General features: G+C 44.1%; 1 protein-coding gene across 6 annotated transcripts in view; it reads right to left on the bottom strand.

Annotated features, from left to right (window-relative positions):
- SHISA9 (shisa family member 9) overlaps positions 1-13,181 on the bottom strand; it is a 661,420-nt gene that overhangs the window by 345,191 nt on the left and 303,048 nt on the right. The window contains exon 4 of one of the 6 annotated variants that reach the window (NM_001145204.3): positions 4,527-4,574. The exons of the other annotated variants lie outside the window; for them this stretch is intronic. Within the exon in view, the coding sequence (NP_001138676.2) occupies positions 4,527-4,574 (48 nt within the window). The remainder of the gene's footprint in view (positions 1-4,526; positions 4,575-13,181) is intronic. 6 annotated transcript variants of the gene reach the window in all.

The raw sequence follows: 13,181 nt of genomic DNA, 5'->3' as shown, positions 1-13,181 counted from the left end.
AACTCCTTACCTCAAGTGATCTGCTCACCTCGGCCTCCCAAAGTGCTGGGATTACAGGCATGAGCCACCACGCCCGGCCTAGTGAAGTGTATTTCCTTCTGAAAGATTCCATCAGGATGACTAAGAGCTATCTCCAAAGCAGAGATAAATGGAGACTTTGTGAGTACTGGCCTCTTTTACTCTTATTTAGCACCTATTATATACCAAGCCAAGCCCTGTGCAAAACCTACAGAGAGTACATTCTCTGATTTCCTCTATTGGAGCAATGGTAGAAATGGGAGCGTGGAGCATGTATGTAGCTTGGAAAGGGGGACGCAGGCTGATTCTAGTCAGAAGCAGAGAGATTACACTGCAGTCTATGCTGGCAGTTTCTCCTAATTTGATTGCCTTGCTGTAGCACTGGGCTTAAGTTTAAAGTTTCTGTTTGCAAAATAAACAGATTTCCAAAGACACGGCTTCATCTTGGTGAAGACAGTCTGCTGGTCTTGAGATGGTGTCTTCCAGGGTGGATTTTATTTTAATTAATTAATTTATTTATTTATTTATTTTGAGACGGAGTCTCACTCTGTCACCCAGGCTGGGGTGCAGTGGCAAGATCTCTGCTCACTGCAAGCTCCACCTCCCGGGTTCGCGCCATTCTCCTGCCTCAGCCTCCCGAGTAGCTGGGACTACAGGTGCCCGCCACCACTCCCTGCAATTTTTTTTTTTTTTGTATTTTTAGTAGAGATGGGGTTTCACCGTGTTAGCCAGGATGGTCTCGATCCTCTGACCTCGTTATCCGCCCACCTCGGCCTCCCAAAGTGCTGGGATTACAGGCGTGAGCCACCGCGCCCAGCCCAGGGTGGACTTTAAACAGGTGTGACAGGTGGGTGGATTTTAAAATGGTGTGACAGTTGTTTCCAAGGCTGGGCGTGGGTGGATCAATAGCAGTGACCACTAGGGGGCAACTTGCATGGGAAGCCCTAGGTGGTGAAAAATAAATCGTACCAACTAGCATGATGTTTATCATTTCCTGTCCTGGCAGACACACTCCAAAGGGAGTCATTATCAATGCAGGTGGCAGTAAGAAACTTGTATCTTCAAGGACCTTGTCCTTTCCCCTTGACAGCTACCTCTTCCTTTTCCCATCTCCCCCACTGCTCCCCAGTGACATCTGCACCTCTACCTACTTCTCTGCCCACGCCCTATGTTCCCAAAGTAGGTTCCCAGCAACATTCATGCCACTGAATGTTAAGATGTTCATCGGTCTTCCTTAAGAGCAAAGAGATCAGATGTCAAAAGTGTTTGGGAAATGGTGGGTTAAAAAGAGTTCACCAGTTTTTATTACCACAAGGCTTTTCAGAGCCTTTAATTTGCTCATCTGATAATAACAGTACTACTAATACCAGTAATGAACTGCATGCATTTATTACTTTCCATATGCCAGGTACTATGACACGTGTTTTCAACACCTTATCTCACAACGACCTAGGAGGTAGGTGATATGATGGTCTCCATTTTGCAGATCAGAAAATAGGGGATCAGAGAGGTTGAAGACAACAAGACTAGCAAATGATGGTGCCTGTATTGGAACCCATATATGCCTGAGTCTAAGCCCATCATATCCAAATTGTCTCTCTCTTTTTTTTTTTTTTTTTTTTTTGACAGAGTCTCGCTCTGCCGCCCAGGGTGGAGTGCAGTGGCATGATCTTGGCTCACTGCAAACTCCATCTCCCGGATTCAAGCGATTCTCTTGCCTCAGCCTCCTGAGTAGCTGGGACTACAGGCACGTGCCACCACGCCTGGCTAATTTTGGTATTTTTAGTAGAGACAGGGTTTCACCATGTTGGTCAGGCTGGTCTCAAACTCCTGACCTCAGGTGATCTGCCCACCTCAGCCTCCCAAAGTGCTGGGATTACAGGTGTGAGACACCGCACCCAGCCTGTCTCTCTCCCTTTTAAGAAAGTGGCAGGATGTGGAAGGTGGGGGCACACAAACTCCCTAACCTTGCTACCATACCTCATCTAGAGTCTGGGTCTAGAGGTTGAGTAGAGAACACTAGAGGCAGACCAATGACCCCAGAGGAACTTGGTTCTCACTGGGACCACTTTTCCTCTCCCCCGACAAGGCAGGATAAAGGTGCCTTTAGCAGGACAGGTGAAGTTAGCTTGGTTTGGGTAGAAAACAGCTCCTTGCTTTTAACCTAAACTGAAATATGTTCTAAATGCATCTGACAACAAAAGGATGATATAAGGACAGAAATGCAGGCTGCCTCCAAATGCTGTCACAGAGATCATAACGGCTTTGTTTTTCACAGGGAGGGAAAAAAGAAGTTAATGCCTCAAATTAGGAGGTCTGTCATGTTCCAAATTGTTTGCATTTCTAAAAATGGACTTTGACATGTGAATACTTATTATCTAATGCAAAACCCAAAAATCTGTCTCTCTGAAGGCAACAGCCAGGTAGTCAGGGGATTCTCATTAAATACACTGATGTAAAGCTCTCTTTCCCAATGAGGGAATAGAATGCACTCTCCTCCCTGCAACAACTCAGGATGTTTCTGAGCCAAGGCTTAGTGAATCAGGTGCTCCTGGGTAAGGCCCAGGAATCTGGGTTTGTAACAACCCTCCAAGTGATGCTGATGTGTGCTCAAGCTGGTTACAACGTGAGAACCATTGGTCTCATGATCCCTCCCCCTCCTCACTCAGTACTTTTTGTAGTCTCTCAATGATCCTTCCACTCCCATTTTCTTCTCTCCATCCTCTACCCACCTCAGTGCAGGTCACCACCCACCTGCAAGAGCCTTCCAGTGGGTGTCTGCAACTCTAGTCCACAGTCCCCTAATCCAGTCTCCACTTAGAAGCCAGAATAATCTTTTGAAACGGCAAAAAAAAAATGGCCACAACTATTGATATGGTTTGGCTGTGCCCCCACCCAAATCTCATCTTGAATTGCAACTCGCACAATTCCCAGGTGTTGTGGGAGGAACCCGGTGGGAGATGATTGAATTATGGAGGTGGGTCTTTCCTGTGCTGTTCTTGTGAGAGTGAGTGAGTCTCACAAGATCGGATGGTTTTAAAAATGGGAGTTTCTCCGCACAAGCTCTCCCTTTGCTATCCACATAAGATGTGACTTGCTCCTCCTTCCCTTCTGCCCTGATTGTGAGACTTCCCCAGCCACGTGGAACTGTGAGTCCAATAAACCTTGTGCTTTTGTAAATTGCCCAGTCTTGGGTATGTCTTTATCAGCAGCATTGAAACAGACTAATACACCAGTTTCTTGCTGATATCCTGGCAATGTCTCCTAATTTTCCCCAGTTCGAGCTCATTAAAGAGTTCTACTGGCCAGGCATGGTGGCTCATGCTTGTAATCCCAGCACTTTGGGAGGCCAAGGCAGGTGGGTCATCTGAGGTCAGGATTTTGACCAGCCTGGCCAACACGGTGAAACCCCGTTTCTACTAAAAAAAAAAATTCAAAAATTAGCTGGGCACGGTGGCATGTGCCTGTAATCCCAGCTACTCAGAAGGCTGAAGCAGGAGAATCCCTTGAACCTGGGAGGCGGAGGAGGTTGCAGTGAGCCAAGATCGCACTACGGCACTTTAGCCTGAGTGACAGAGTGAGACTCTGTCTCATAAATAAATAAATAGATAAATAGTTCTACCTCCACCTCCTTAGGTCAGTTACTTCTCCACCAAGTCCAACAAAGCATATGGAGAAGGGTGTTTCTGGTCTATTCTAAAAAGAGCTGCTTCCATTACACCCTAGTGGAAAATAGCTTAGAATAAGGGTCAGACTGATAGAGGTTCAAACTGCAGATCTACCACTGAATAGTCACATGACTCTAGACCAGCAAGACTTATCCATACTTAGACATCATGTCCTCATTTCTAAATGCAGATGACAATGCCTACACAGCCTGATCATCATAGAATTAAATGATAAAATGATGTAAAGGGCCAGTCCTCTGGCACATAGTAGGGCGCTAATTAATGATAGCTGCCACCTGGTCTGGTCACCCAGCTGGGTTAACTCACAGACTCAAGTCGACCAACTTCCTAACCCTCTCTGCTCACCACGCTGTCCCAGGAAAGTTGAAAATAGCATTCTGTTCTCTAAAAGGCTAGTCATTCCCAAGACCCTTGGCCAATAACTTGATTATGTTTTTCTCTCCCTCAGAAGCTGTGTTCTTCCCCCGCCCCGCCCCCATTAATTAACCTTGTGTTTTGCCATTTGCCATTGCAGCTTTCTGAGAAAAATCAACATATTTCACCTTACCTGGCATGATTTCTCATAGTGATATTTTCCATCAGGCAGCAAATATTGGGAAGTGAGGGCTACCACGTTGTCCAACAATTGCTAGATGCACACACACACACACAAACACACAAACACCTACACACTGGAACTTAGACGGACTTGCAGATGCCACCCTATGCAGACACACATGTGCACAGGTCACACAGACACCAGGACTCTCTATCCCTTCATTATTTAATGCTAACTTTGACAACACCTGGACAAAAGAGCTAGAAAAAGCTGTACAGTACCTTTTGGTGACTTAAGTGTCGATACTGCCCAGTCACCATCAGAACTTCCTAAAAAAATAACAATCAAGAAATGCTGATGATCTGTTTGCAGGGCACCCATGTTCACTATGCCCTCACACCCAGGTGCTGTTGGCTGCCCCTGCTGCAGCCTCCAAGCAGGGACAGGCCTCAGGGGACCCAGGGAACAGGGAAGGGAGCCACGTGTGAAAATGCAGCTATGTGTGTACCTCTTTCTGCAAGGCCTTGAAGCAGCCTCACGTTAACACCCAACAGAAGATCAAAAGAAGCCTCCTGAAAAAGGCCGAGATATTTTCAGTTACGTAAGGCAGAAAGATAATTCTTAGGTAGAAAATCTGGCTGTAAATTTCAACCTGCTTAGAAAGAAAGGAAAGTTTGAGTTATATGAGCTCACCTTGGCTCAAGACTACACTCTGATGACAAGAGATAGACTTTGATCGTGTTCCACTGCAATCCCCCTCCTGAAAAGGGGCACATTATTAGCCCCAGATTCAAGGTTGGGACAGGCTCTACTGACTGCGACTTTAAATGCTGGGTGACAGGCCCCATGGGGTGGGGGCTACCTTACCACAGTACCTAACACACATTCTGTGTTTGGAAAATATGACTGAATGAAGGAATGCATTCAATTTTATCCACAGAGTCACCCTTTCTAAGGTAGGGAAATTCTAAACGGTAACGAGATCAAGCTTGTTATCTGAGAATCCCATAATGAGTAATACATTGCTTTACAGAACAGGTGTGTGCCTGGAGTTTTCATTATAAATCAGTTTATCCGAATTGAATTCCCTTTCAGATGTCCCGAATGAGCCCTGGGAGATCTAACATTATTAACAGAATTCCATAATGACTCCTTTCATAAAATGAAGGATACTGAGAATTGGCCAAGGCTATACCCAACCCAACCCCCACCAACCTCGCATTTTCTTTGATAGTTCTCTGTAAGATTGGGTTTTGCTTAAAGTGGGGCAACCCTACCCACGAGACCTCTCCTCATTGGCTGGAGACCTGGCCAATCAGCGTGTGGTCCTAGCTCTTTCCTTTCTTAGGCATCTACCTAGAAAGACCAAGTCCTCAACAGTTTGGCACTATTTCCAGAGATATATCAGGCTGAGTGAAGGCGCAGGGAACAGTCTGTCATCTGAATGATTACAGAGCACAGATCCGGCCCCATTTAAACATTTCTGGCTGGCCTCCCCAGGCGTGCCAAAGGATGCTCAAATCGCCACATCCCCCCCGTGGATCTGAACTGTACACCCCTCATCACTCACAAGAGGGACAATTGGAGCAACAGAAGAGAGAAGAGTGAGGAAGTTAAAACTGAGTCGGGCCCACCCAGGATGACTCGGTTCTCTTCTCCCCCATAGCCAGGGTCATCTGGAAATAGTGGTGCGACCCCCATTCTTCCTGTGTGGATGGCCACACGCTGACCAAGCCAACAAGTCGCTGACTCCAGGGAAGCCATCTGAACCCCAAATTAAATCCATTGCTGTTTGCCTTGAAGGCAGGAACCATTATTTTGTCACCTCTGTTCCCATTAGCTCAGATAGGGCTTAGCTATTACAATAATGAATTTTCATTTATAAGTTCATTGACAATAGGGCATTTAATAAGATGATGTATAGGCTACGGAACATTTAGTTAAGGCTCCACTGTGTACTTGGTCACACTCATGGACATTAGAAAAATACTTTGAGGGTGAAAAATGCTCATGAAGAGGAAGTAGACCTAAGGTATTAAAAGGAAGGAGATATGAGGGAACTTTCAGTGTGACGAAAATATTTCTCATTTTTATTGGGATGTGGATAACCAAGTGTATGCTTTTTTTTTAAACAATCACACTATTGTAAAATTATGAACTGTGTATGTCACTGTATGTAAAATATACCTCCAGTATAGCATACCTCAAATACACTAGAGTTCAATTATACTCAACATCATAGGGAAATTTTTACTTTCTTTTTTTTTTCTTTTCTTGAGACAGAGTCTTGCTTTGTTGTCCAGGCTGGAGTGCAGTGGCACAATCTCGACTCACTGGAACCTCCACCCCCACTGCCCCCCGGGTTCAAGTGATTCTCCTGCCTCAGCCTCCCAAGTAGGTGAGGTTATAGGCGAGCAGCACCACACCTGGCTAATTTTTGTATTTTTAGTAGAGATGGGGTTTCACCACGTTGGCCAGGCTGGTCTCGAACTCCTGATCTCAAGTGATCTGTCTGCTTTGGCCTCCCAAACTGCTGGGATTATAGGCATGAGCCACTGTGCCCAGCCAAACTTTTACTTTCAAACAAAGAAAAATGATGAGTACCTTGGTAAGCTCTCCTTCCCCCAGAAGAGCAGGGGATAGGCTTCCCCAGCTTTTCTTTTGCCTGGTTACATACTTTAGATGCTAGAAATTTCTCTGCAGAAGACAGCATAGTTTCATGGGAAGAACATAGGATTCCAAGTCAAGCACTCTTGAATATGAGACTTGGCTCTGCCATTTACTAAAAGTACGGATTATGGGGAAATAACTATGCTAAGCTTGTTTCCCCATCTGCAAAACGGGGGGTACTGATGCCTCCCTCAGAGGTGTGCTGTTTATGAGCTCAGTGATGTGAGCCCCCTTTCTGCCCTAACTTGAAAAGAAATTAAACTAGTAGAGGCCAATCCATGGCCAAGTGCCTCATGTATGGCTTTTAGGGTTTTCACTCATGATTCCAAGAGTAAAGAGGGAATTCCTGCCATATTGAAGTGTATTGTTGCTGTTGTTTCAAAAAGTGCTATTGGAAAATGCCTTGTGATTCTGGCAAAATGTCAATCATCTGTCAAATAGCAACACAGACAATTTTTTTTTAATAAAATTAAAATTTTGAATTAGAAATGAAGTGACGCAGCATTTTATCAATGATGCTGGTACATCCTGTCTCTTTCTTATACTCAATGGCCAAGGTTGCATTGAGCCATCTTAAGGGCACATGATCATGAATCTTTGGTCACTTAGGAGTTCAATAATCAGAAACCTAGAGGAAAAACTGGACAAGGGGCTAATGAAAGATAAATGTCAATGTGCAGGCAACTTTCTGTTTGCAAAGCCCATCAGGAATTACATAAAAGGGTGAAAGGGTGATCTTTTCCAGTTCTGGAAGTACCAATCATCCCTCTCTGAACCACCAAGTGAGCTTTAGGGACATTTTCTTTTTTTTGAGACAGAGTCTCGCTCTGTTGCCCAGACTGGAGTGCAGTGGTGTGATCTTGGCTCACTGCGAGCTCCGCCTCCCGGGTTCACGCCATTCTCCTGCCTCAGCCTCCCAAGTAGCTGAGACTACAGGCATGTGCCACCACACCCAGCTAATTTCTTTGTATTTTTAGTAGAGACGGGGTTTCACTGGGTTAACCAGGATGGTCTCGATCTCCTGACCCCGTGATCCATCGCCTTGGCCTCCCAAAGTGCTGGAATTACAGGTGTGAGCCACTGCACCCGGCCTAGGGATATTTTCATAAAGACGTCTGTCTTCCAAACTTTGGCCTGTGAAGAATCACAAGGTAGGCTCCCATATTGTAACCATATGGGCACCTCAGGCCAGGGAACTTGTATGCTTAACTGGATTTTCAGGTTACATTTTTGGCTCGGTCTATAACAAGACCCACTTCTCAACCTCAACATTGGTGGGAAATGTTTAAATCCACATTACATTTTTGCTTTAGTAAGGAGAGTCAATTGAGTGAAAAAGAATAGTTCCCTGATGGATTGTATTGAAACAGAATATTTCTCTGATGGCTAACATTACAGTATCTATATGCCTGGGCATCAACTTTTATTGTCCACCCTGAAGATGGGGAACTTGAAGAGGTCTAGACTGATTCTTTGAGGGTCCTTAGGACAGCTTAGAAAAGCCATTTGTTTGCTTGCTTGCCTGCTTGTTTTATCAGATCCCTGACATGAGTTAACTTTCATGTATGTCTTTCCCATCAGACTGGAGTAAAGAATATGGAACCAACCCTTTCTCCCTCAAAATGAAATGTGGGCAATTGCATGTTAATCCAGGTACCAGCGTATCTCCGAGATCAGGGGAAAATGATGACCGCAGATAACTCTGGTCTGGGTCTTTAATATGCTGCAGTATTTGCTGAGGACTGACATATGTCAGGCTAAGAACTTTACCTACACTATATCATCAAATTTTCTAAGCCATTATCTGTGTGTTATCATTATTATCTCCATTTTACAGAAGGAGAAACTGAGACCTGAGGAAGTTAAATAATTTCTCCAATTACTTGATAAATGTCCAAGCTGGGTCTTAAACTCAGCCCTGACAAATTCCAGAGGCTGTGCTATATTCTGCTATCCTGCTGATTCTCTAAGGCCCCTCTCAGGCTAGATAAGGTGCTTCTCATATGGTATTATTCACTAGTTTTACAAATAGGTGTTGGGAGTCCTTACTAAGCACCCCACATGACACTAGGTGCTGGGGATACATTGACAAATGGGACAGATTTGGTTCATGCCTCAGTGGGACCTGCAGTCAAGGGAAACCAGACTTAATGTTTGGAGAATGAATGAACAACTGAAGGAATAATTCAAAGTCATCATCCCTTCTGGTACAAAGTCCTATACGGTTTAGCCACTAACAATTCCCCAGTGTGTGCTAATATTTTACCAAGAGCTGGGCAGTGAAACCCTTGGGAACAGAAACCATTCTGCAGTTACATGCCATGTATGACTAGGTGGTGCATGTCCAATTCTCTCAATAGGAGAATCGCTTGAACCCAGGAGGCGGCGGTTGTGGTGAGCCGAGATTGCGCCATGGCACTCCAGCCTGGGTGATAGGAGCCAAACTCTGTCTCAAAAAAAAAAAAAAAGAAAAAAAAAGAAAAAGAAAGGAAAAGAGGTCTCTTTAAACATGAGTGAGGGTGATCCCAACAAGCAAACAAAAATAAAATACAATAAAATAGAAAGGAAGGCAGGTTTGGGGAGAATTTGCCTCAGGAACAACCAACATTAACACCCTTTATTCAAACCGTTTTTTCCCTGAGTTGGCAGGAAATGAATGGCACATGTTTAAGGCATTCTAATAACTAGAATGAGTAGAATTATTTAATTTTCTAATTTTAAAATTAAAATGGAACTTGGACATCTTATAGTTCAGTTTTCTCATTTTTCATATGAAGAAGCTGAAGTCCAAGAGCTTCATTGACCTGCTCAAAGTCATCCAGCTAAGTACAGTTAGAGTCTGAGTGAGACAGAGCCTCTGATCATCTTCCCAGAGCTCTGGATGTTAAAGCTTCCCAGAGAAATTTATTTTCCAGAAGTATTTTTGAGCTTACCAGTGAATGCTAAAGATTGTCTAACCTCTCCTTATTCTCTGGATTGAAATATTTAGAAAATGAATCTGCTTATCGGAGGTTGCAGAACTTTCAATGGCAAACCATTTTTTAAACAACTTCTCTCCTGGCTGGTAATAATTTCATTAATAAAATGCATTTCATCATTCACACCATGATCACATTATGCTTTAACAAAGAACCCTTGAAAGAACATTTATTATGGGATTTGCATTTTATATGTGCAGGCAGATGCTGGATTCCTGGCTAACCCATTGAGTCAAGCAATCCCTCAGTCTGCTCCTCATTGGCCCTCCAGATTCACAAGACCACCTATGTCTCAGAGAAAGCCCTGAGAACTCTCACAGTGGTCAGAAAAAAAGGATGAAGAACAGGAGGGGGTACATCAACCCCATCTAGGACTGGGGAAGGTGTCCCACGTGGGATGCTTCAGAGTTTTCTAGGAGGTATTAGAGTGCTTCCTTACAACCAAGCTATTCCTTTTTTTTTTATTCTTGTCAAAGACAAGCTCATTCATTCATTCAACAAACATTTCAGAAGTTCCTGATTTATGAACAGAGGGTTACTCAAAGAGTGTGAAATGATTTTCACACTGAAAATTTAATCCCAAATGCATTGCAGACATTTGCCATGTAGAGGAGCTCCACATAAATCTTGGATAAAATCAAGGAATTTCTGTTAGAATATCCCTCTGCTATTTTCCCAGGGAGCGACTGGGTGTCATACTGGAGTGCAGTGGCACCATCTCCGCTCACTGCAACCTCCGCGTCCCAGGTTCAAGTGATTCTCATGCCTCAGCCTCCCAAGTAGCTGGGATTACAGGTGCCTGCCACCATGCCCAGCTAATTTTTGTATTTTTAGTAGAGACAGGGTTTTGCCATATTGGCCAAGCCGGTCTTCAACTCCTGGCCTGTTGATTTTTTAAATGCCTAAAGAAGAATAAAATAAAATGGCATATGTTATTTATCATCTAACTGCGAGGCTCAGAAAGGGAAGTGGGCCACCAAATAGCATATGAAGGCTTCCACAGTTACACTGGCAAAGATGCCGTGACTCTTGCTCTCCTAGGTAACAGCCCTCATCCCTTCCTAGTAACACTGAGTATATTTGAATGCAGTTAGGATGCATATGCTGTGCAAACAGGCAATATGGAATAGAAGGAATCTGTGGTCATGGGACATAACGAGGGTTGAGCTGGGCATAGAAATTCAATGTGAAACATGGGTAACCAGTACGTAGGGTCTTACAAGGCTTCAGATTTAGAAAAGCCTGTGTCAGTTTGCACATCCTGTGTCCTTGGTATTATAAATTTGGCTCAGTCACTATTTGAATGATTCCATCTGGAAATCTTAAGAGATCAGGGAACATGAATTCCCAAACATAGACTTCTGGTATAAGCACTGGCTAAGCACCTAGGAAGTGCCTGGCCCTATGCTAGGCACCAAAATGCTTGTTTTGTGAATCTGATGTGTGTTGATTATGGTTACCACATGCATCTTAGACACATGGTTGTGTCAGTGCTTTGGGTTCTGGTGTTAGTTTATAACAGGATTAGCATATTTCATACTGAAATCGATCAGCAAGTATCTCTCATCCCATCTCCAATGAGGGGCTTGGCAGTGGGGGGAGAAAATAGGATGAACAGTTGATAATAAAAGAAAGTATATGGTTTGTGGGGTTTTCTGCCTGCCCAGAGTTTTTCGGGAACCAAAACTATGTGAGAATAGATAAATAAATAAATTTTATGAATAACTAAAGAGTAGAAGACCTCTACCAATAAATGGGATTCCACTCAAAGTGAATTGTTCTAATGCTTCGGAGCTTCTGACAGTCAATTCTGCTGGGAAGGTGAGGACTCCATGTTGGAAAAGGAGAATGTTTAAAGAAGTCCTTCCTGGCCAAGTGCAGTAGCTCACACCTGTAATCTCAGCACTTTGGGAGGCCAAGCTGGGAAAATCATTTGAAGTCAGGAGTTCGAGACCAGCTGAGCAACATGGAGAAACCCATCTCTACTTAAAAAAAAAAAAAAAAATTAGCCAGGCATAGTGGTGCATGCCTGTAACCTCAGCTACTCGGGAGGCTGAGGCAGGAGAATCACTTGAACTCCGGAGACGGATGTTGCAGTGAACCGATATCGTGCCACTGCGCTCCAGCCAGAGTGACACAGTGAGACTCTGTCTCAAAAAAGAAAAAAGAAGAAGAAGACCTTCCTATGATATCTGAGCATGCTCTAAGATGGAAATGAGAAAAGGATTCATCCATGGGGCTACTAGAAACAAGACCAGGGAGCTCTGGAGAAGGGAGGTGACAAATGTATGTTGAATGAATGTCCTTTACCAGTCTATAATATGAGTCATCACAGGCATCCTTAGGCCCATTTTACAGATTAGAAGACTGAGACCTTAAAAAGGGGCCAAATGTTGCCCAAGGCTACACAGATGGTAAGCAGTAGAGCCAGGATTTGAACTCACATCTGTTTGGCTCTTTCTAGCTCCCCAAGGAATAGACTCAGAAGAATCAGGTTAAGTGGAAAGCCTGGCTTTAAAATCTCTCCTCTGAGACAGGGAGAAAAACTTAGAGCTCACAGGACACAGTGAGAAGGAAAGAAAAGGAATTTCCCCCATGTATTAAGGTCATTAGAAGAGGAAATTCAGAGCAAGCATTTGAAATAGGATTTGGTTTTCCTGGATGTGGGACTGATGAAGTAGTTTTCATGAATGGCTGTCACCCCTGGCTTCACACTAGAAACAGCCACAGAGTGCTTTAAAAATGCCCATGTCTGAATCTTATCCTCAACCAGTTCAATTGAAATCTCCAGGGTGGACCTGGGGCATCCTTATATTTTACCTGCTCTCCAGGTGATTCTAGTAATTGGCATCCACATGTGAGAACCATTGATTTAGGGAACCCTGAGGTTGCCACAGCCAATCAGGAGTCAGGAATTGCTTTCTGTGACTGTTGCTTCTATCCAATAGAACCCTTTTATGAGCAAACTGTTCAGGAGCCTCAGTCACTGTCAGGGTAACTATCACACCCCCTCATGTTTAAATTGAAGAATGAACTGAAGGAACCAGGACAGTGGTGGAAGCAGTGGCTCTGGAGGGATAAAAATAGGGTTCAATTCTCAGCTCTGTCACCCACTGCTGCTTGACTTGGGCAAGTTATATTAGCCTCTTAGAGTCTCAGTTTTCTAATCTGGTAATTGGGATAATCATTGTGTCTTCACCTTGGAATCACTATGAGAAAACAAGGGTTTAATTCAATGTCTTGCACTTGGTAAGAACTCCATTAGTAGCAGCCCCAGGCTGCCCACTC

Source organism: Homo sapiens, chromosome 16, assembly GCF_000001405.40.
Source record: "Homo sapiens chromosome 16, GRCh38.p14 Primary Assembly".
Lineage (NCBI taxonomy): Eukaryota > Metazoa > Chordata > Mammalia > Primates > Hominidae > Homo > Homo sapiens.
Note: the sequence above shows the minus strand (reverse complement) of the source record. Positions and strands in the feature narration are given on the sequence as shown.